The 19,730-nt window shown below is 50.4% G+C and overlaps 1 protein-coding gene across 9 annotated transcripts, besides 2 other annotated features; it reads left to right on the forward strand.

The window, feature by feature from the left end:
* Window positions 7-396: a silencer, noted in NCBI's record as "silent region_7918". NCBI's record gives its function as "represses an Ori minimal core promoter by ATAC-STARR-seq in GM12878 lymphoblastoid cells {active_cell/tissue: GM12878}" and the evidence as "EXISTENCE:reporter gene assay evidence [ECO:0000049][PMID:35858748]".
* Window positions 68-12,750, forward strand: SPATA33 (spermatogenesis associated 33). 9 transcript variants are annotated; one of them, NM_153025.3, is made up of 3 exons: window positions 68-127; window positions 540-713; window positions 11,578-12,750. In NM_153025.3, the coding sequence occupies exons 1-3, from the start codon at window positions 94-96 to the stop codon at window positions 11,787-11,789; spliced, it is 420 nt and encodes a 139-aa protein (NP_694570.1). In that variant the 5' UTR covers window positions 68-93; the 3' UTR covers window positions 11,790-12,750. The 9 variants fall into 9 exon arrangements, 7 of the variants coding, with proteins under 7 accessions (NP_694570.1, NP_001374155.1, NP_001258836.1 ...); NM_001387226.1 differs by lacking the exon at window positions 68-127 and adding an exon at window positions 128-240 and having other exon boundaries at window positions 540-743; NM_001271907.2 differs by lacking the exon at window positions 68-127 and adding an exon at window positions 128-240.
* Window positions 112-281: an enhancer, noted in NCBI's record as "experimental_46656 CRE fragment used in MPRA reporter constructs". NCBI's record gives its function as "activates a minimal promoter by MPRAs in K562 erythroleukemia cells, with activity observed for both the introgressed and non-introgressed 16:89724313 variant alleles {active_cell/tissue: K562}" and the evidence as "EXISTENCE:reporter gene assay evidence [ECO:0000049][PMID:34662402]".
* Window positions 12,751-19,730: the final 6,980 nt, after the last annotated feature.

Below are 19,730 nucleotides of genomic sequence, written 5' to 3' on the forward strand. Positions count from 1 at the left end.
GCCCCACTTCCGGTCGCACGGGATGCTCTCGCGAGAGGATGGTGGCCGGTCCCGCCAGAGGGGCGGGGCGCGGCTGCGCGGCGCGCGGTCGCCATGGTGACGCACGCCGCTGGCGCGAGGACCTTTTGTGAGTCGCTCCCGGCTCCGCGGCCGCGGAGGTGTGGGGACCCGGGCTTGCGTCGGAGGGGGCGGTGGGCTCACCCATGGGCCTTTCCAAAAGCAAAGAGAAACCCAGGAAAGGTAAAGGAGGCGCAGGCGCTGGGCTCCCCGCGTCTCCGCCCCTGGGCGCGGGCCCAGGGCGGGGCTGGGCTGGGCGGGGCGGTGTGAGCGCAGGCGCCAGGCTCGGCCCGGTGCGAACCGTTCCTGCCGCCGAGTCCGCCACGGACGGCGCGTTTCCCGCCTGAGGCGGTTACGGAAACGCGGAGACTCGAGACTTGAAGCCAGCTTATTCTGGACCCACGCAGGCGACTGAAGACGATGGGACCCACTGCCCTGCATTCGGTAAGTCCCGGGTCTAACGGATGATCCATATATTTCAGGTGAGGAGCAAAAGAAGGGATCCACCTATTCAGTTCCAAAATCTAAGGAGAAGTTGATGGAGAAGCATTCCCAGGAAGCCAGGCAGGCAGACAGGGAGTCGGAGAAGCCTGTGGACAGCCTCCACCCGGGGGCCGGGACAGCCAAGCACCCGCCGCCGGCAGCTTCGCTGGAAGGTAGGAGACGGCGGGAGGGAGCGAAGCGAGGTCAGTGGCTTGGAGGATCTGGGGCTGGGGTGAGGAGCCTACTGTAAGACCCTACCGGATGGACACTAGTAGCAGGCACGCGCCGTAAAGATGAAACTGGTTTGTTTTGGGAACTTTATGTAGGAGGTAAATATCCAGAAATCTTAGTTGAAAACATAAGTTTAATGAAAATGTAGGTCAGTTCCCGAGTGATAAGTGCGTACCAGGTGGTCGAGGGGCTGGGGCAGTGTGCGTGTGTCTCACCTGAGGTTCTCCTCGAGGGCTGGGTATCTTGGTGCCACTGAGAATCCCTGAGCCTCCGCACACTGGAACAGAGCATTGGGAGGCCGTCCCAGGCTGGACTGTAGCTCTCCGAGGGCTGTGGGGATAAGTACATTGCGGAGGGTGACCGAGGAGTAGAACCTGGGTGCGACAAAGGTGTCTTTTATAACAGCCTAGTGTGGCCAGACCTTTGGGTGTGTGTGGGGAAGATGAGGCCCCAAAAGTAGGAAGAAGCTAGAATACAAAGTTTTCCATCAGTTTTACCACGTGGAGCTGGAAGCGTTAAATATTTTAAACAACGGAGGTGCTGCCTGGGGCGGTAGTTCACACCTGTCCTCCCAGTTATTTGGCCGAGGCAGGAGGATCTTTTGAGCCCAGGAGTTCAAGACCAGCTTGGGCAACATAGTGAGACCCTGTCTCTACAAAAAATAAATATTTAAAAATAAAAAACAAGGGCGGCATGATGAGGTCTGTGCCTACCAACAGGGGAAGCCAGTTCGCAGGGGAGGTGGCCCGGTCAGAGACCCATTGCTGTGGCCCAGTGGGAGCCAGCAAGGCCTTGCAGTAGGAATTGCAGAAGGGTCAGGCAGGGAGAACCCGCAGAGCCTGCCGTCCGAGGAGATTGGGGGCCTGTGCCAGGAGGAGGTGTTTTAAGTTTCATCACAAGAATGAACCACTCGGCTGGGCGCAGTGGCTCACGCCTGTAATCCCAGCACTTTGGGAGGCCGAGGCGTGTGGATCACTTAAGGTCAGGAGTTCAAGACCAGCCTGGCCAACGTGGTGAAACCCTGTCTCTACTAAAAATACAAAAATTAGCTGGGCGTGGTGGCATGTGCCTGTAATCCCAGCTACTCAGGAGGCTGAGGCAGGAGAATTGCTCGAACCTTGAACCGGGACCCGGGAGGCAGAAGTAGTGGTGAGCGAGATCGCACCACTGCACTCCAGCCTGGGCTACAGAGTGAGACTCTGTCTCAGAAAAAAAAAAAAATAATAAGGAGAGAACCACTCGGGTCAGACAAGAAAGAATGTCAGGGGGATGACTGGCCTGCTAGGCAGAGGAGCTGGGCCTGGACTGCTTCACACTGACACGCTTGTAGGATCAAGGGCTGAAAGTAGGAGGCTCTGGGCCTTGGACTTGGAAGAAAGACTTGGATTTGAATTCCCAACTTTGGAACCTCCCACTGGAGGGTGGAACCCCTCACAGGAGGGCGCAACCCCCCACCGGAGGATGGAACCCTGCAGGAATAGCATCACCCTTGGGTGGCAGTTTGGAAAATGCTACCTGTCTGTCACGGTGCTTTTAGCTGAAAGTTACAGAAAAGCTCACTAAACGCAGCTTTAACACAGGGATTTAATGTCTCACGAATGAAGGGTCAGAGGTGGAGCTTCCAGGTTGGCTTGTTAGCACAACAGTGACATCAAAGACTTTGCGTGTCTCTTCTTGACCACTCTCAGTGTCCACAGCCCCCGATGAGTGTACAGCCCCCCACACGCAGGCAGGACTGCATCTACTGCAAAGGCATTGCTCCTTGCTTCATATTAGCAAGGAAACCTTTCCCAGGAAGGCTTCGCCTGCCCAGCCTCTGCAGGACTCATTCAATGGTGCAAATTCACCAGGGGCTGGAGGGAGCTGTGAAGCATGGGAGTGGGCAGGACCTCTGCCAGTAACGGAAGTGGGGGAAGGAGGACCGCCTGTTGGAAGGGCCCCAGCAGTGTCTGTCACACCAGAGGGTGGGGGAGGAAGGTGGACATGAAGGGAAAACAGCAGAGCAAGAGTGAGAACAGAGTTTCAGCAGATAAAATGAAGTGTGCACGCTCTCCATGCAGTGACGGGCTGAGCGACAGTGAGGAGCAGGCTGCTGACTCCCTTGCCACACCGTGAAGGAGTCCCAAAGGTGGGACACTGAGTGAGACAAGCCAGAGGAAAGACCACTCATGTTGCAGTTCCCTTTCCATGGAATGTCCAGAAAAGGCACATTTACAGAGAGAAGCAGATGAGTGGTTGCTGGGCAGAAATGGGAGCCGGCCACAGCTGAGCACAAGAGGACTTTGGAGGGTGATGGAAATGGTTTTCGACCTGAATCTGAACATGGGAAGCACTGCAGTTTAGTAGTCCTGGTCCCTAAGCCCTTCCAGCCCAGGAGCCAGACCTGTGAGCAAACAAGCCTTTAGTGATTCCAGGCTCTGGCTGGAACCTTGAGTCTTCTCAGCTTGGGGCATGCACCTCAGGGGGAGCCAGCATCAGTGTCCAGCCCCAAGAGCTTCCCTGTACGTCTCAGTGAGTCTTCACATGCCTCCAACTGCCTGGACAACCACACGTGATACCTGTCCTGCCAAACGTGTCCTGAACCCATAAAATCCAGAGAAAAGAAAATCGTTTTAAACTGCTGAGGTTTGGGGTAAGTTACTATGAAGCAGTAGTGAGAAGAACAGAAGGGCCATGATGGGGAGAAAGTTTGGCCATAAGTTAATCACTGTGGCAGCTGTTAGGATATTGATGTGGCTTGGCTGTGTCCTCACCCAAATCTCATTTTGAATTCCCACATGTGGGAGGAACTGGGTGGGAGGTGATTGAATTATGGGGGCAGGTCTTTCCTGTGCTGTTTTCGTGATAGTGAATGAGTGTCACGAGATCCGATGGTTTTAAAAACGGGAGTTTCCTGCATAAGCTCTCTCTCTGCCTGCTGCCATCCATGTAAGATGTGACTCGCTCCTCCCTACCTTCCGCCGTGATTGTGAGGCGTCCCCAGCCATGTGGAACTGTAAGTCCATTAAACCTTCTTCCTGTGTAAATTATTCAGTCTCTGGTATGTCTTTATTAGCAGCATGAAAACGGACTAATACAGATAGATGTATTATACTGTTACCCCTACTACTTCTGTATATGCTTAAATTTTTGCATTACAAAATTCACAAACATACAAACATTATAGAGAACTAACATCACAGATTTACAGTCACCTTATTCCACAATGTTGGAAATTCTACCACAAATAAAGAACTTGAAAAAAAAGGAGGGGATGTTAGAAGGAAATCTGAGCGACCTAGACCTGGGCTCAGTCACGCCTGAGACAGTCAGATGGGGTATCTGAGGATGAGTCAGTGTTAATTTTCTCAGACCTGGGCTCCGTCACTCCTGAGACAGTCAGATTGGGTATTTGAGGATGAGTCCGTGTTAATTTTCTTAGATGTGGGAATGCTATTATAGTTACGCTAAAACACAATCCCTATCTAATAAATACACTGCAACATTTATGGGTAAAATCATATGTCTGAAATTCCTTAAAGATACTCAGAATGCCAGGCATGGTGGCTCATGCTGTCATCCCAGCACTTTGGGAGGCCGAGACGGGTGGATCACTTGAGGTCAGGAGTTCGAGACCAGCATGGCCAACATGGTGAAACCCTGTCTCTACAAAAAATACAAAAAAATTAGCTGGGTGTGGTGGTGCACACCTGTAATTCCAACTACTTTGGAGGCTGAAGCAAGAGAATAGCTGGAACCCAGGAAGCAGAGGTTGCAGTGAGCCACGATCATCCCACTGCACTCCAGCCTGGGCAATGGAGTGAGACTCCATCTCAAAAAAAAAAAAGATACTCAGGAAAAAAACGAAGAAAGAACAAGATAACAAAATACTGATTGAAGCTGAGTGCTCTATAGGTGCAGGTGCTCATTCACTATTCTATTTTCTTGTGTGTTTGAACACTTTTTTTTTTTTTTGAAATGGAGTTTCCTTCTTGTTGCCCAGGCTGGAGTGCAATGGCATGATCTCGGGTCTCAACTCACTGTAGCCTCCGCCTCCCAAGTTCAAGTGATTCTCCTGCCTCAGCCTCCCAAGTAGCTGGGATTACAGGCGCCCGCCATGACGCCCAGCTAATTTTTTTTGTATTTTTAGTAGAGATGAGGTTTCGCCACGTTGGCTAGGCTGGCCTCAAACTCCTGGCTTCAGCTGATCCACCCGCCTCGGCCTCCCAAAGTGCTGAGATCACAGGCGTGAGCCACCGCACCTGGCCTCCCAGAGCGCTGGGATCACAGGCGTGAGCCACCACGCCCAGCCTGTTTGAACACTTTTGTGACGTTTTGTTGTTTGTTTGTTTTGAGATGGAGTCTTGCTCTGTTGCCCAGGCTGGAGTGCAGTGGCACAATCTTGGCTCATTGTGACTTCCGCCTCCCGGGTTCAAGCAATTCTTCTGCCTCAGCCTCCCGAGTAGCTGAGACTACAGGTGTGCGCCACCATGCCTGGGTAATTTTTGTATTTTTAGTAGAGACGGGGTTTCACCATGTTGGTCAGGCTGGTCTCAAACTCCTGACTTTGTGAACCACCCGCCTCAGCCTCCCAAAGTGCCAGTGTTACAGGTGTGAGCCACCACGCCCGGCCTGTAACATTTTCATGAAGGTAGAGTATACTTAATTGCAAGAAAATTTTGAAAAAGAAGAGAAATGGAACACTTCTATTGGCTATTAAAAAATACCATGCTGAGTGAAAAAAGCCAATCCCAGAAGGTCACATGCTGTATGATTCCATTTCTTTTTTTTTTTTTTTTAGGCTGGAGTGCAAATGGCACGATCTTGGCTCACTGCAACCTTGGTCTCCCGGGTTCAAGCAATTCTACCTCGGCCTCCGGAGTAGCTGGGACTACAGGCATGCGCCACCATGCCCAGCTAATCTTTGTATTTTTAGTAGCGATGGGGTTTCTCCATGTTGGTCAGGCTGGTCTCAAACTCCCGACCTCAGGTGATCCGCTTGCCTCAAACTCCCGATCTCAGGTGATCCGCTTGCCTCGGCCTCCTGAAATGCTAGGATTACAGGCGTGAGCCACCATACCCGGCCGTGATTCCATTTCTGTAACATTCTCTGAATGACAAAATTATAGACAGGGAGGACAGATTGTTGATTGCTAGGGCCTTGGCGTTGGGGTAGGGAGTGAGGGGGTCTGTGAAGGGCAGGGCTTTGGGGTTGGGGTAGGGAGTGGGTGTGTCTGAAGGGCAGCAGGAGGAAGATGGGATTGTTGGTTTTGGTGGTGATTGATTAAATGGCGTAGCTGTACATACACTCATAGTACCGGAGTCCATTTCCTCGTGTCGATAATGGTACTATAGTTATATAAAACGTTCGCTTTGGGAGCCAAGCACAGTGGCTCACGCCTGTAATTTCAGAACTTTGGGAAGCCTAGGCAGGCAGATCACTTGAGCCCAGAAGTTCAAGACCAGCCTGGGCAACATGGTGAAACCTGATTTTTACAAAAAAGACAAGAATTAGCTGGGTGTAGTGGAGTGTGCCTGTAGCCCCAACTAATCAGGGGCCTGAGATAGGAGGATCCCTTGACCCCATGAGGTTGGGGCTGCAGTGAGCCAAGATCGTGCCACTGCCCTCCAGCCCCGGCGACAGAGTAAGACCCTATTTATGCTTCCTAGCAAGGAAAGACAGTACACATATTGAAGAATTTGACTGCGTTAAAATGTTAAACCTCTCCCCAAACTCTTATAAACAATTGTAGAACAAATGATAAGCTCAAAAAAATATTTACATCTATGAGAGGCCAAAGAATATCAGTTGACTCTGGATCAGGGGCTCGGACACGTTGCTGTGGAGGCACACATCTTCCTGGAAGGCGGTTTGGTAACAAGGTGGCAGGACTCAAGACAGCCCACACGATCCCTGCCCCTGGGAAACAGCCATGTGTAACCCTCCCCTCGAGTGTGGGTGGAATGAGGAAGAGGGAGGTGTGTCTCTCCTGCGATTAGCTCACTCATCCATTGAGTTTGACGTCATCAAAATGCGAGATGATCCTGGATGGGCCCGACCTGATCAGGGAAGCCAGACAGTAAAAGTGTCAGAGGCTCTTTAGGGCCCGACCTGATCAGGGAAGCCAGACAGTAAAAGTGTCAGAGGCTCTTTAGGGCCCGACCTGATCAGGGAAGCCAGACAGTAAAAGTGTCAGAGGCTCTTTAGGGCCCGACCTGATCAGGGAAGCCAGACAGTAAAAGTGTCAGAGGCTTTTTAGGGCAGCGAGAAAACGGGAACTTCATTCCTTGAACCGGGAATAAATTCTGCCTCCAACCAGAATGGGCTTAGAAGAGGGTCCTCCAGCTCCTCATGAGAATGCAGTGCAGCCGGCCCCTGGAATTCAGCCTGCGTCCCAGCCACGCTGCACCTGCACCCCTGACGACGAATGCAGTAAGATGATAAGTGGATGTGCTGGTTTCAGCCCTGAAGTTGGTGGTGATTTGTTGTGCAGCAATAGAAGTACACACAATATGTACCAAGAACCTTGAGAAGAGTCACATTTATTCTTTCTGTTTTGTTTCTGAGATGGTCTCACCCAGGCTGGAGTGCAGTGGCACCATCTTGGCTCATTGCACTCTTGACGTTCTGGGCTCAAACGATTCTCCCACCTCAGCTCCCTGAGTAGCTGGGGCCACAGTGCACGCCACCACCCCCAGCTATTTTTTGTAGTTTTTGTAGAGATGCGGTTTTGTCATGTTGCCCAGGCTGGTCTCGAACTCCAGAGGCCAAGCAATCTGCCTGCTTCAGCCTCCCAAGGTGCTGGGATTACAGGCGTGAGCCACCGCACCTGGCCCAAGATTAATATTTCTTTTTTTTTTTGAGATGGAGTCTTGCTCTGTCGCCACCCAGGCTGGACTGCAATGGTGCATCTCTGCTCACTGCAAGCTCCGCCTCCCGGGTTCATGCCATTCTCCTGTCTCAGCCTCCCGCATAGCTGGGACTACAGGTGCCTGCCACCACGCCTGGCTAATTTTTTGTATTTTTTTTTTTTTTAAGTAGAGATGGGGTTTCACTATGTTAACCAGAATGGTCTTAATTTCCTGACCTCGTGATCCGCCCGCATCGGCCTCCCAAGGTGCTGGGATTACAGGCGTGAGCCACTGCGTCTGGCCTAATATTTCTAAATGAAGAAACTATACTTTGAGGAAGATGAAATAAGTCTTGTTTTAGACTAGAAAATTTCAATAGTGTAAATACGTTAACTTCTGTAAAATCAGTCAACACCAAGTCAAAACACAAAAGATCTTTTGGGAATATGAGCAGATTATTCAAAGGTTCATCTAAAGAATAAAAATGAGGCCAAGTGTAGTGATTCACGCCTGTAATCCCGGCACTTTGGAGGCCGAGGCAGGTGGATCACTTGAGGTCAGGAGTTCAAGACCAGCCTGGCCAACATGATGAAAGCCCATCTCTACTAAAAATACAAAAATTAGCTAGGCGTGGTGATGGGTGCCTGTAGTGCCAGCTACTTGGGGAGGCTGGGGCAGGAGAATCACTTGAACCTGGGAGGTAGAGGTTGTAGTGAGCCAAAATTGTGCCACTGCACTCCAGCCTGGGCGACAAGAGTGAGAATCCATCTCAAAATAAATAAATGAATAAAAATGAAAGCAGTAGGAAACATCTGGAAAACCAGAGGCATGAGGGGGTCGGGCCCTCTGATACTCAAGTAGGTTAGAGTAAAAAAAAGCCAGATATGGTGATGTGGGAATATATGGTCCCATAGGTGGGATCTGTGGTTCCAGCTACTCAGTGAGGTCCGAGGATCACTTGGGCCTGGGAGGTTAGGACTGTAGTTTGCTATGATCACATCCACGAATAGCCACTGCGCTCCTTCCTGGGCTACAGAGTGAGACCCTTCTCTAAAAATGGAAGAAAATGGCCGGCACAGTGGTTCATGGCTGCTGTAATCCCAGCGCTTTGGGAGGGTGAAGTGGGAGAATAACTTGAGCCTGAGAGTTCGAGACCAGCCTGGGCAACATGGCAAAACCGTGTCTCTACAAAAAATTTCAAAATTAGGTGGGTGTGGTGGTGTGTAGGGTCCAGCCCCACAGGGTCGGTGGGTTTTCTCCCCATGTGCGGAGATGAGAGAGCGTAGAAATAAAGACACAAGGCAAAGAGATAAAAGACAGCTGGGCCCGGGGGACCACTACCACCAAGCCGTGGAGACCGGTAGTGGCCCCAAATGCCAGGCTGCACTGATATTTATTGGATACAAGACAAAGGGGCAGGGTTAGGAGTGTGAGCCATCTCCAATGATAGGTGAGGTCATGTGGGTCATGTGTCCACTGGACAGGGGGCCCTTCCCTGCCTGGCAGCCAAGGCAGAGAGAGAGGAGACAGAGAGACAGCTTACGCCGTTATTTCAGCATATCAGAGACTTTTAGTACTTTCACTAATTTGCTACTGCTATCTAAAAGGCAGAGCCAGGTGTACAGGATGGAACATGAAGGTGGACTAGGAGCGTGACCACTGAAGCACAGCATCACAGGGAGACGATTAGGCCTCTGGATAACTGCGGGCAAGCCTGACTGATGTCAGGCCCTCCACAAGAGGTGGAGGAGCAGAGTTTTCTCTAAACTCCCCTGGGGAAAGGGAGACTCCCTTTCCTGGTCTGCTAAGTAGTGGGTGTTTTTCCTTGACACTGACGCTACTGCTAGACCATGGTCTGCTTGGCAACGGGCGTCCTACCAGACGCTGGCGTTACCACTAGACCAAGGAGCCCTCTGGTGGCCCTGTCTGGGCATAACAAAAGGCTCACACTCTTGTCTTCTGGTCACTTCTCACCATGTCCCCCCAGCTCCTGTCTCTGTATGACCTGGTTTTTCCTAGGTTATGATTGTAGAGCGAGGATTATTATAATATTGGAATAAAGAGTAATTGCTACAAATTAATTAATGATATTCATATATAATCATGTCTGTGATCTAGATCTAGTATAACTATTCTTATTTTATATATTTTATTACACTGGAACAGCTCGTGCCCTCGGTCTCTTGCCTCGGCACCTGGGTGACTTGCCGCCCACAGTGGTGCGTGCTGGTGGTCCCAGCTACTTGGAAGGCTGAAGTGGGAGGATCATTTGAGCCCAGGAAGTTGAGGCTTCAGTGAGCCATGATCATGCCACAGCATTTCAGCCTGGGCCACAGACCTTCAAGATCCTGTCTCAAAAAGAAAAAGGGATATCGCTCAGTGCTTAGTGCAGCTGTGGGTCATTCGGCAGCTGACACAGATGAGGCTATGTAACGCAGCACTGCAGGCAGAGGGGGAGGCCAAGGCCTGAATACCCCGTCTGACTAGCCTTAGGCAGGCGACTTGGCCTCTCTGCCTCCCCCATCTGGTTAGCCTTGGGCAGTCGAGTTGGCCTCTGTGTCTCCCCTGTTTGACTAGCCTTGGGCAGATGGCTTGGCTTGTCTGTACCTCAGTTTTGTCTGAAATATGGGTTGTCAGAGACCTATAGCAGAAGCTGCTGTGTGTCATTATTCACTGTTCTAGGGCTCAGAACAGGCACGCGATAAAAGCCAGCACCGTTGGCCGGGCGCATTGGCTCACGCCTGTAATCCCAGCACTTTGGGAGGCCAAGGCAGGTAGATCACCTGAGGTCGGGAGTTCAAGACCAGCCTGGCCAACATGGAGAAACCCTGTCTCTACTAATAATACAAAAATTCCCCAGGTGTGGTGGCAGGAGCCTGTAGTCCCAGTTGCTCAGGAGGCTGAGGCAGGAGAATCACTTGAACTCAGGAGGTGGAGGTTGCAGTGAGCCGAGATCACACCACTGCACTCCAGCCTGGGTGACAGAGCGAGACTCCGTCTCAAAAACTAAGAAGAAGATTAATAATAAACCAGCACTGCCATTGCCAGCAGTCCATCCTACCTCGCATCCAGGTTCGTGAGCTACCAAGTGTCCCCACAAAGCTGTAAAACAACATGACCACTGTAGTTACGTTTCTGTAAAAAGGTGACTGAGTCTTCTAACCCTGACCACACATATGTGTGCAGAGAGAGCCAGCTCCATCCTGCTCTCCCAGAAGCCTGAACAGCTGTGCCCTAGCTCGTAGCAGTGGCACTCCAGGAAGGGGGCGGGCGGCTGTGCCCGAGCTCGTAGCAGTGGCACTCCAGGAAGGGGGCGGGCGGCTGTGTCTGAGCTCGTAGCAGTGGCACTCCACGAAGGGGGTGGGCGGCTGTGCCCGAGCTTGTAGCAGTGGCACTCCAGGAAGGGGCGGCCGGCCAGCCAGGAGAGCAGCCGGTGAAGGAGCACTTTTGCTTTGTACGTGGCAACGCTCGGCAGGCTCAGCAGTTTCACAGGTCTCAGGCGTTCCTTGTAACCTTAACAGGTTTAAGAAAATGTGAGCAACATCAGACATGTCCATTTCTAGAACATTCTAATGGATGAAGTTCTGTACAGAGGGCTTTAGCAGAATTAGAGACCTTTGGAGTGGAAATGATGTCTCTGAACCTTGAGCTCTGAGGCGGTTCCTGCCTGGACGTGTGCCCTCCCTCCTTCCTTTGCTGGTCGCCCTGACACCATCCTGCCACGGATAGTGGAAGTGTTTCTCCTGTTTTCTTCCCTGAAAAAGGGTGTCCAGCATCAGCAACCTTCATGGCTGAGTTGCACATCCCTTAAGCCCTGTAATGTTCATGGACAGTTTTGATCACTTTTGGACTCACCCATTTTTTCTGCTAACCATACATCTTAATTCCTTTACTCTGACCAATGGCAGGAGGTGTGTGCATCGTGGAAGGAGCTTTCCACACATCTACTAAATGCCTGGATGTTTTTTCCTCTAGAGAAACCTGATGTAAAGCAAAAGTCCAGCAGGAAGAAAGTGGTCGTTCCACAGATCATCATCACGCGAGCGTCGAATGAGACGCTAGTCAGTTGCAGTTCCAGCGGGAGTGACCAGCAGAGAACCATTCGGGAGCCGGAGGACTGGGGCCCCTACCGGCGGCACAGGAACCCCAGTACAGCAGACGCCTATAATTCACATCTCAAAGAATAAACAAGCACCTTTGCATGGCACTCGCTACTCCCTGCGATAGGCGTCTCGGGAACAGCCGCCTCACCCTGTGAGAAGCCGAGGCCCCTTCTCCAGTGCTCTCGGGGAGGTTGCACCAGGCCCACCCCACCCTGTGAGAAACTGCAGCCCCCTTCTCCAGTGCTTTCGGGGAGGGTGCACCAGGCCCGCCCCACCTTGTGAGAAGCCGTGGCCCCCTTCTCCAGTGCTCTCAGGGAGGGTGCACCAGGCCTGCCCCCGCCGTGAGAAACTGCAGTCCCCTTCTCCAGTGCTCTCGGGGAGGGTGCACCAGGCCCACCCCACCCTGTGAGAACCTGCAGCCCCCTTCTCCAATGCTCTCGGGGAGGGTACACCAGGGTTGCCCCACCCTGTGAGAAGCCACCGCCCCCTTCTCCAGTGCTCTCGGGGAGGGTGCACCAGGGCTGCCCCACGCTGTAAGAAGCCGCCGCCCCCTTCTCCAGTGCTCTCCAGCCCGCCCCACCCTGTGAGAAGCCATGGCCCCTTCTCCAGTGCTTTTGGGGAGGGTGCACCAGGGCCACCCCACCCTGTGAGAAGCCGTGGCCCCCTTCTCCAGTGCTTTCGGGGAGGGTACACCAGGCCCGCCCCACCCTGTGAGAAGCCGTGGCCCCCTTCTCCCGTGCTCTCAGGGAGGGTGCACCAGGCCTGCCCCCGCCTTGAGAAACTGCAGCCCCCTTCTCCAGTGCTCTGGGGGAGGGTGCACCAGGCCTGCCCACCCTGTGAGAAACTGCACCCCCTTCTCCAGTGCTCTCGGGGAGGGTGCACCAGGCCCGCCCCACCCTGTGAGAAGCCGCAGCCCGTTCTCCATTGCCATTTGGTCCTGCCTTCCCCAGAGCTGCTAGCAGCTCGGTCGAGGCAAGAGTGACTGGCTCAGAGAGCGAGCTTTGTGGTATTGATAAATGAATAAATTAGTATGTTCATGTTGGAAGTGGCTGGCTCTGCAGAGTGATGGACAGCAGGTGGCATCTTACATTGTGATTTGTGGTGCACAGTTAAAACACTTCCCTTCGTTTCAGAAGGAGACAATGTGAATACTTGGAAATTATAGTGAATAAGATGCCTCCCAAACTTGAGGAAAAGGTCAGATTCTAAGAGCTAAACGTTAAGATGTAATGTTCCAGAACAAAGAGGCCCAGAGTCACTGAACGGGGCCCCAGGGCTCCTAGCTTGAGTGTAATCTGAGTCAGCTTATGAAAAGGCCCCAAAGAAGAAAGTGGAATGTGTGCTGGGCACATGGGACAGCCATGGCACTGAGACTTTGGAAGTGGCCTTGCCAGCGCTGTCCTGTCTTTCTGGCCCACAGATGAGGGCTCCTGATTGTGGAAGGCCACGGAAGGGACCTGAACACGATGGCACGAGACAAGTTATCTCCTGTGACTGCTCCTCTCCAGCAACCCTCAGCTCAGGCTAGACTTTCCCCCTGTGTTGAGAATGCCCTGCCCTGTGTGGAAGCCTGATGCATTTAGTGACAGTGTGTTAGCTTTGTTAGTTTCTAGTCTGGCCAGCAGGCTTTCCATGTGATCTGCCATTGGCTTGCTTCAGTGGCCAGTGGAGCCAGGGGTGTCCACCAGAGTCTTGGACACAGACTTCTGAGGTGGCAGCGGGAGGGAGCCTGCTCCCTGCCACACACGTACAATTTCTAATCCATACAGGCCTATGTAGTATATACACACATACGCAGAGCCTTAGGAATTGTGAAAGGCCAATCAAAACTTGGGGCCCTAATTTCACTCTGCCAAAAGAAAAAAAAAAAAAGCTGAAAGATGAGTCACCCAAGAAACTGCTTCCTTTTTGTTCCTAAGCAGAGAGCTACCAATAAAAAGTTAAAGTTTCTCCATAGGTAGCTACTCTGTTCACCTTCTGTGAAGTGCCAAATTTTTTTTTTATTATTATACTTTAAGTTTTAGGGTACATGTGCACAACGTGCAGGTTTGTTACATATGCATACATACGCCATGTTGGTGTGCTGCACCCATTAACTCGTCATTTACATTAGGTATTTCTCCTAATGCTTTCCCTCCCCCCTCCCCCCTACCCCACGACAGGCCCCAGTGTGTGATTTTCCCCTTCCTGTGTCCAAGTGTTCTCATTGTTCAGTTCCCACCTATGAGTGAGAACATGCGGTGTTTGGTTTATTTTACTTGCGATAGTTTGCTGAGAATGATGGTTTCCAGCTTCACCCATGTCCCTGCAAAGGACATGAACTCATCCTTTTTTATGGCTGCATAGTATTCCATGGTGTATATGTGCCACATTTGCTTAATCCAGTCTATCACTGATGGGCATTTGGGTTGGTTCTAAGTCTTTGCTATTGTGAATAGTGCCGCATTAAACATAGGTGTGCATGTGTCTTTATAGCAGCATGATTTATAATCCTTTGGGTATATACCCAGTAATGGGATGGCTGAGTCAAATGGTATTTCTAGTTCTAGATCCCTGAGGAATCGCCACACTGTCTTCCACAGTGGTTGAACTAGTTTACAGTCCCACCAACAGTGTAAAAGTGTTCCTATTTCTCCCCATCCTCTCCAGCACCTGTTTCCTGACTTTTTAATGATCGCCATTCTAACTGGTGTGAGATGGTATCTCATTGTGGTTTTGATTTGCATTTCTCTGATGGCCAGTGATGATGAGCATTTTTTCATGTGTCTGTAGGCTGCATAAATGTCTTCCTTTGAGAAGTGTCTGTTCATATCCTTCACCCACTCCATCAAAAAGTGGGTGAAGTGCCAATTTACTGAGCACGAGACAAATACATCATTGACTTCTTTTGTCTTGTGGATTCAAGGATGTGTCCACGCCCGCCCTCCTTCCCCTCCAGCTCCTCCCCTTGAAATACTGAAGCCCTCAACATCATCTTTGGAGGAAGGTACAGAGTTGGCTCTCACGCGCACATCCTTAACCTTGGCCTAATAAACCTCTAAGGTGGCTGAGACCTGTCTCAGATACTTGTTGGCTTACAAATTGACCACCATGCAGGGACTCAGAGTGGAGGTGGCCCTGCCCTTTGGCAGGTTTCCTCCTGGTGCTTAGGACCAGTTTGGGCCTTCTTTATTGCTCAGGACAGTAGGACAATTTGCTGAGATCCGGGAGCCCTACCACCCTCCAGAGAATCTCTGATCTCCCGAAACTTGGTTGAGGTCGAAAGTTTATTTTGCGCACAATGCCTTTTCCTTTTCCGGTGTTTTACTTGCTTCCAACAAAGAAGGCGAGTTTTCCTGCTTCCGTGATGATGGGGAGCAGGAGACTTCCCTGGAGTTTCAGCTCGGAAACAACTCGAGTTTTTCCTGATTCCACGATGGGGGAGAGCAGTCTAAAGCCTGGGCCCCATTCCTAGGTAAGTGGCTGAATTGGGGTTCTGTCTTGGAAGTTCTCCTTAATGACTAAAGCTAACATTAACGACTGGCTGGTCTTAACTTCTTACTATTAGCATGCTCAGTAAGTGTATAAATTGTGGGATTGTTTGTTTTGCTTAACTGCTTTTTGTTTGTTTCTGTGTTTGCTATTTTTGCTGTTTCAGTCTTTTTCCCGTTGGATTTGACGAATTCTGTTAGACTTGGTCAAATCTGAAGCAAACTTCCAAGTTGTGGGAAACAAGCCTCTGAATTAGCTGAATTCCCACAGCTGGGAAAAAGGAAAAAAAGCCAGAAAAAGGGAAAAAAGATTTTGACCACGTGATGGGCTTTATTTGCATAACGAGGCCACGTTTTTCCAGCCAAGCCACACTCGAAGAGTAAGTGCCGTCACCTCACGCTGCAGTTCGGTAGGTAGAGTCCGCCATTTTTCCACCAGGACAGCCCGGGTTTGGTTCCTACATCCTTTCTGGTTTGAAATTTGTGTTACTTTTGAAATATCAGCAGTTTGTCCCGGCTGAAATAAGGTAGTGAGATTTAAAGATTTAAAAGGATTTTCTTTTTTTTTGAGACGGAGTCTCGCTCTGTCGCCCAGGCTGGAGTGCAGTGGCGCGATCCCAGCTCACTGCAACCTCTGCCGCCCAGGTTCAGCCATTCTCCTGCCTCAGCCTCCCAAGTAGCTGGGATTACAGGCACTTGCCACCGCACCTGGCTAATTTTTGCATTTTTAGTAGAGACGGGGTTTCACCACCTTGACCAGGCTGGTCATGAACTCCTGATCTTGTGATCCACCCTCCTTGGCCTCCCAAACTGCTGGGATTACAGGCGTGAGCCACTACGCCCAGCCAAGAGGATTTTTAAAAGGGCTTAATGGTCAAAAGTAAACTTAACTAAAAGCTAATATCGGATATATTCCAACATAGTAGCTTAATTAAGTCCGTATGCCACATACACATATACAGACCCCTGTGTAGAAAAGAAGGCACCAGACTCCTTTTTGGGGAGAAACTTCTGTTTTTCTTATGGAACTCCAAGAGTGGAAACAGACACGTTCCTCTCAGATCTTAAATTGCTTGCTATTGTATTGTGTTACCTGATTTTTTTTTACTAAAATAGTTGACACAGGACTTTTTGGGGTGCTGCTTCTCTAGCTGGAGGCCTCTGTGGCCGGTGGTGCCCCTACCCGGGTCTCCTGGGCTCCAGGGTTGGCCCTGGAGTACCCCGCCCACCTAGCCCGGCCGTGGGATCCGCCCTCAGCCCATGGCTGGACTGCGCATGCGCACGCCGCAACCCGCTTCAGCCTTGAGCACTGGAGTCTGGACAAGAGGAGTGTGGTGGCGCACAAAACGCCCAAAGATGCCAGGAACGGCAGAGCCCCAAGGGTGTCACAGCTCGATTGTTCCCCCCGCCTGCGGTCTGGTGAGTGGGGGTGTGTTACAGTGTCACCCCCCCTTTTTTTTTTTTTGAGACAGAGTCTCACTCTGTCACTAGGCCAGAGTGCAGTGGCACAGTCTCGGCTCACTGCAACCTCCGCCTCCTGGGTTCAAGCGATTCTCCTACCTCAGCCTCCCAAGTAGCTGGGAGTACAGGTGCCTGCCACCACACCTGGCTAATTTTTTTTTTTTTTTTTTTTTTTTTTTTTGAGACAGAGTTTCTCTCTTGTTGCCCAGGCTGGAGTACAATGGCACGATCGCAGCTCACTGCAACCTCCACCTCCCAGGTTCAAGCGATTCTCCTGCCTTAGCCTCCTGAGTAGCTGGAATTACAGGCATGCACCACCATGCCCGGCTAATTTTTTGTATTTTTAGTAGAGACAGGGTTTCTCCATGTTGGTCAGGCTAATCTTGAACTCCCGACCTTAGGTGATCCACCCGCCTCAGCCTCCCAAAGTGCTAGGATTACAGGCATGAGCCACCACACCCAGCCAGTTTTTGTGTTTTCAGTAGAGATGGGGTTTTACCATGTTGGCCAGGATGGTCTTGATCTCTTGACCTTGTGATCCGCTCACGTCAGCCTCCCAAAGTGCTGGGATTACAGGTGTGAGCCACCAGGCCTGGCCGTCACCCCCTTTTTGAATCTGTGATTCAGCAAGTCCCAAATGCTTCTCCCATGTCCAAGAAAAATGAAGGTATGCAGACAACCGGAGGGTGAGCAGGACAACGTTTTGTTGAGCAACAGAACAGTTCTCAGTGAAGAGGGGAGCCAAAGTGGGCAGCCCCTACTCAAAGTTGGGTACGCCCCCACTGAAGTCCCCCACCATGCACAGCCTATAATTTTATCTTTGACTTGGCATTCTTTTTTTTTTTTTTGAGACAGAGTCTTGCTCTGTTGCCCAGGCCGGAGTGCAGTGGTGCGATCTCGGCTCGCTGCAACCTCCGCCTCCAGGGATCAAGTGTTCTCCTGCCTCAGCCTCCTGAGTAGCTGGGATTACAGGTGCCCGCCACTACACCTGGCTAATTTTTTGTTTGTTTGTTTGTTTGTTTTTTGAGACAGAGTCTTGCTCTGTTGCCCAGGCTGGAGTGCAGCAGCGCAATCTCTGCTCACTGCAAGCTCCACCTCCCGGGTTCACGCCATTCTCCGGCCTCAGCCTCCCCAGTAGATGGGACTACAGGCGCCCACCACCACGCCCAGCTAATTTTTTGTATTTTTATTAGAGATGGGGTTTCACCGTGTTAGCCAGGATGGTCTCAATCTCCTGACCACATGATCCGCCCACCTCGGCCTCCCAAAGTGCTGGGATTACAGGCGTGAGCCACTGCGCCCAGCCTAATTTTTGTATTTTTAATAGAGACAGGGTTTCACTATGTTGGTCAGGCTGGTCTTGAACTCCTGACCTCATGATCTGCCTGCCTCGGCCTCCCAAAGTTCTGGGATTACAGGTAACATTCATTTTTAATGTCCCTCTAACACACCCAGACTCTCCCTCTGTATTTTGAGATGTAAATTTTGCTATCTGATTTTTCACCTAAGAGTTCTTCCTTTGGTATGTCAATTTAGGGCTATCAAGCTGAAAATTGCCTAAGACAATGAAACAGGTTATCAAGAAATTGGAAGTTTAGGCCGGGCGCAATGGTTCACGCCTGTAATCCCAACAAATTGGGAGGCCAAGGCGGGCAGATCACTTGAGGTCAGGAGTTCGAGACCAGCCTGGCCAAGATGGTGAAACCCCATCTTTACTAAAAATACAAAAATTAGCTGGGTGTGGTGGCACGTACCTGTAATCCCAGCTACTTGGGAGGCTGAGGCAGGAGAATCGCTTGAACCTGGGAGGCGGAGGTTGCAGTGAGCTGAGATTGCGCCATTGTACTCCAGCCTGGGCAACAAGAGCAAAACTCCATCTTAAAAAAAAAAAAATACAAAAATTAGCCGGGCGTGGTGGCAGGTGCCTGTAATCCCAGCTACCCAGGAGGCTGAGGCAGGAGAATCTCTTGAACCCAAGAGGTGGAGGTTGCAGTGAGTTGAGACTGTGCCACTGTACTCCAGCCTGGGTGACAAAGTGAGACTCCAACTCAAAAAAAAAAAGAAAAAGATCGAAAGAAAGAAATTGTAAGTTTAAAATAGTAGAAAAAAAAGAAGGGGTCTTATGCATCTTCTGTGTGTCGAATGCATCTATGTATCTATGAGTCATGTATACAATGTTTCACTACCAAAAATATATAAAAGAGTTTTAATTAATTGGGTTAAAGGAAAAAAAAGCACTTAAATACTGTATCAGAAAAATATAAACTTTTTTTTTTTTTTTTTTTTTTGGAGACAGAATGTTGCTCTATCACCCAGGCTGGAGTGCAGGGGCACGATCTCGGCTCACTGCAAGCTCCGCCTCCAGTGTTCTCACGCCATTCTCCTGCCTCAGCCTCCCGAGTAGCTGGGACTACAGGAGCCCGCCACCACGCCCGGCTAATTTTTTGTATTTTTAGTAGAGACGGCGTTTCACCGTGTTAGCCAGGATGGTCTCGATCTCCTGACCTTGTGATCCCCCCGCCTCAGCCTCCCAAAGTGCTGGGATTACAGGTGTGAGCCACCATGCCTGGCCAGAAAAATAGAAACTTTAAGCCCAAATGCTTTTTCAGGTTCATGTGACTTAAGTAAATCCTTAAAAAATAAGCTAGTTTTAAAATTATTGGTAAAATAAAATAGAAATGCCTTCAGAATTGTCAACATACATTATTGTTTAGATTTATTGGTAAAGGAGTTCAATATTTATCATTACGAGATACTGTAAGTTGTCAAAATTTGGCATGAGGGTTATAAGGCTTGCAACACAAAAGGGAATTATGTTTGACTAATTTCTTGATAAATAAGGCATTTAATATTGTTTAATGGAAAGAGATAAATCCTGAGTTGCTGGCAAAAAAAAAAAGAGGAACATTTATTTAACCATAAGGTTCTTACTTAGGTAAACACCTAAAATTCACAGGCTATAAAAATGGTTAGGCCAGGTATGGTGGCTCACGTCTGTAATCCCAGCAATTTGGGAGTCTGAGGTGGGCAGATCACCTCAGATCAGGAATTCAAGACCAGCCTGGCCAACATGGTAAAACCCCGTCTCTACTAA

The sequence above is a fragment of the Homo sapiens genome, chromosome 16 (assembly GCF_000001405.40).
Source record: "Homo sapiens chromosome 16, GRCh38.p14 Primary Assembly".
In the NCBI taxonomy this organism is placed as follows: Eukaryota; Metazoa; Chordata; class Mammalia; order Primates; family Hominidae; genus Homo; species Homo sapiens.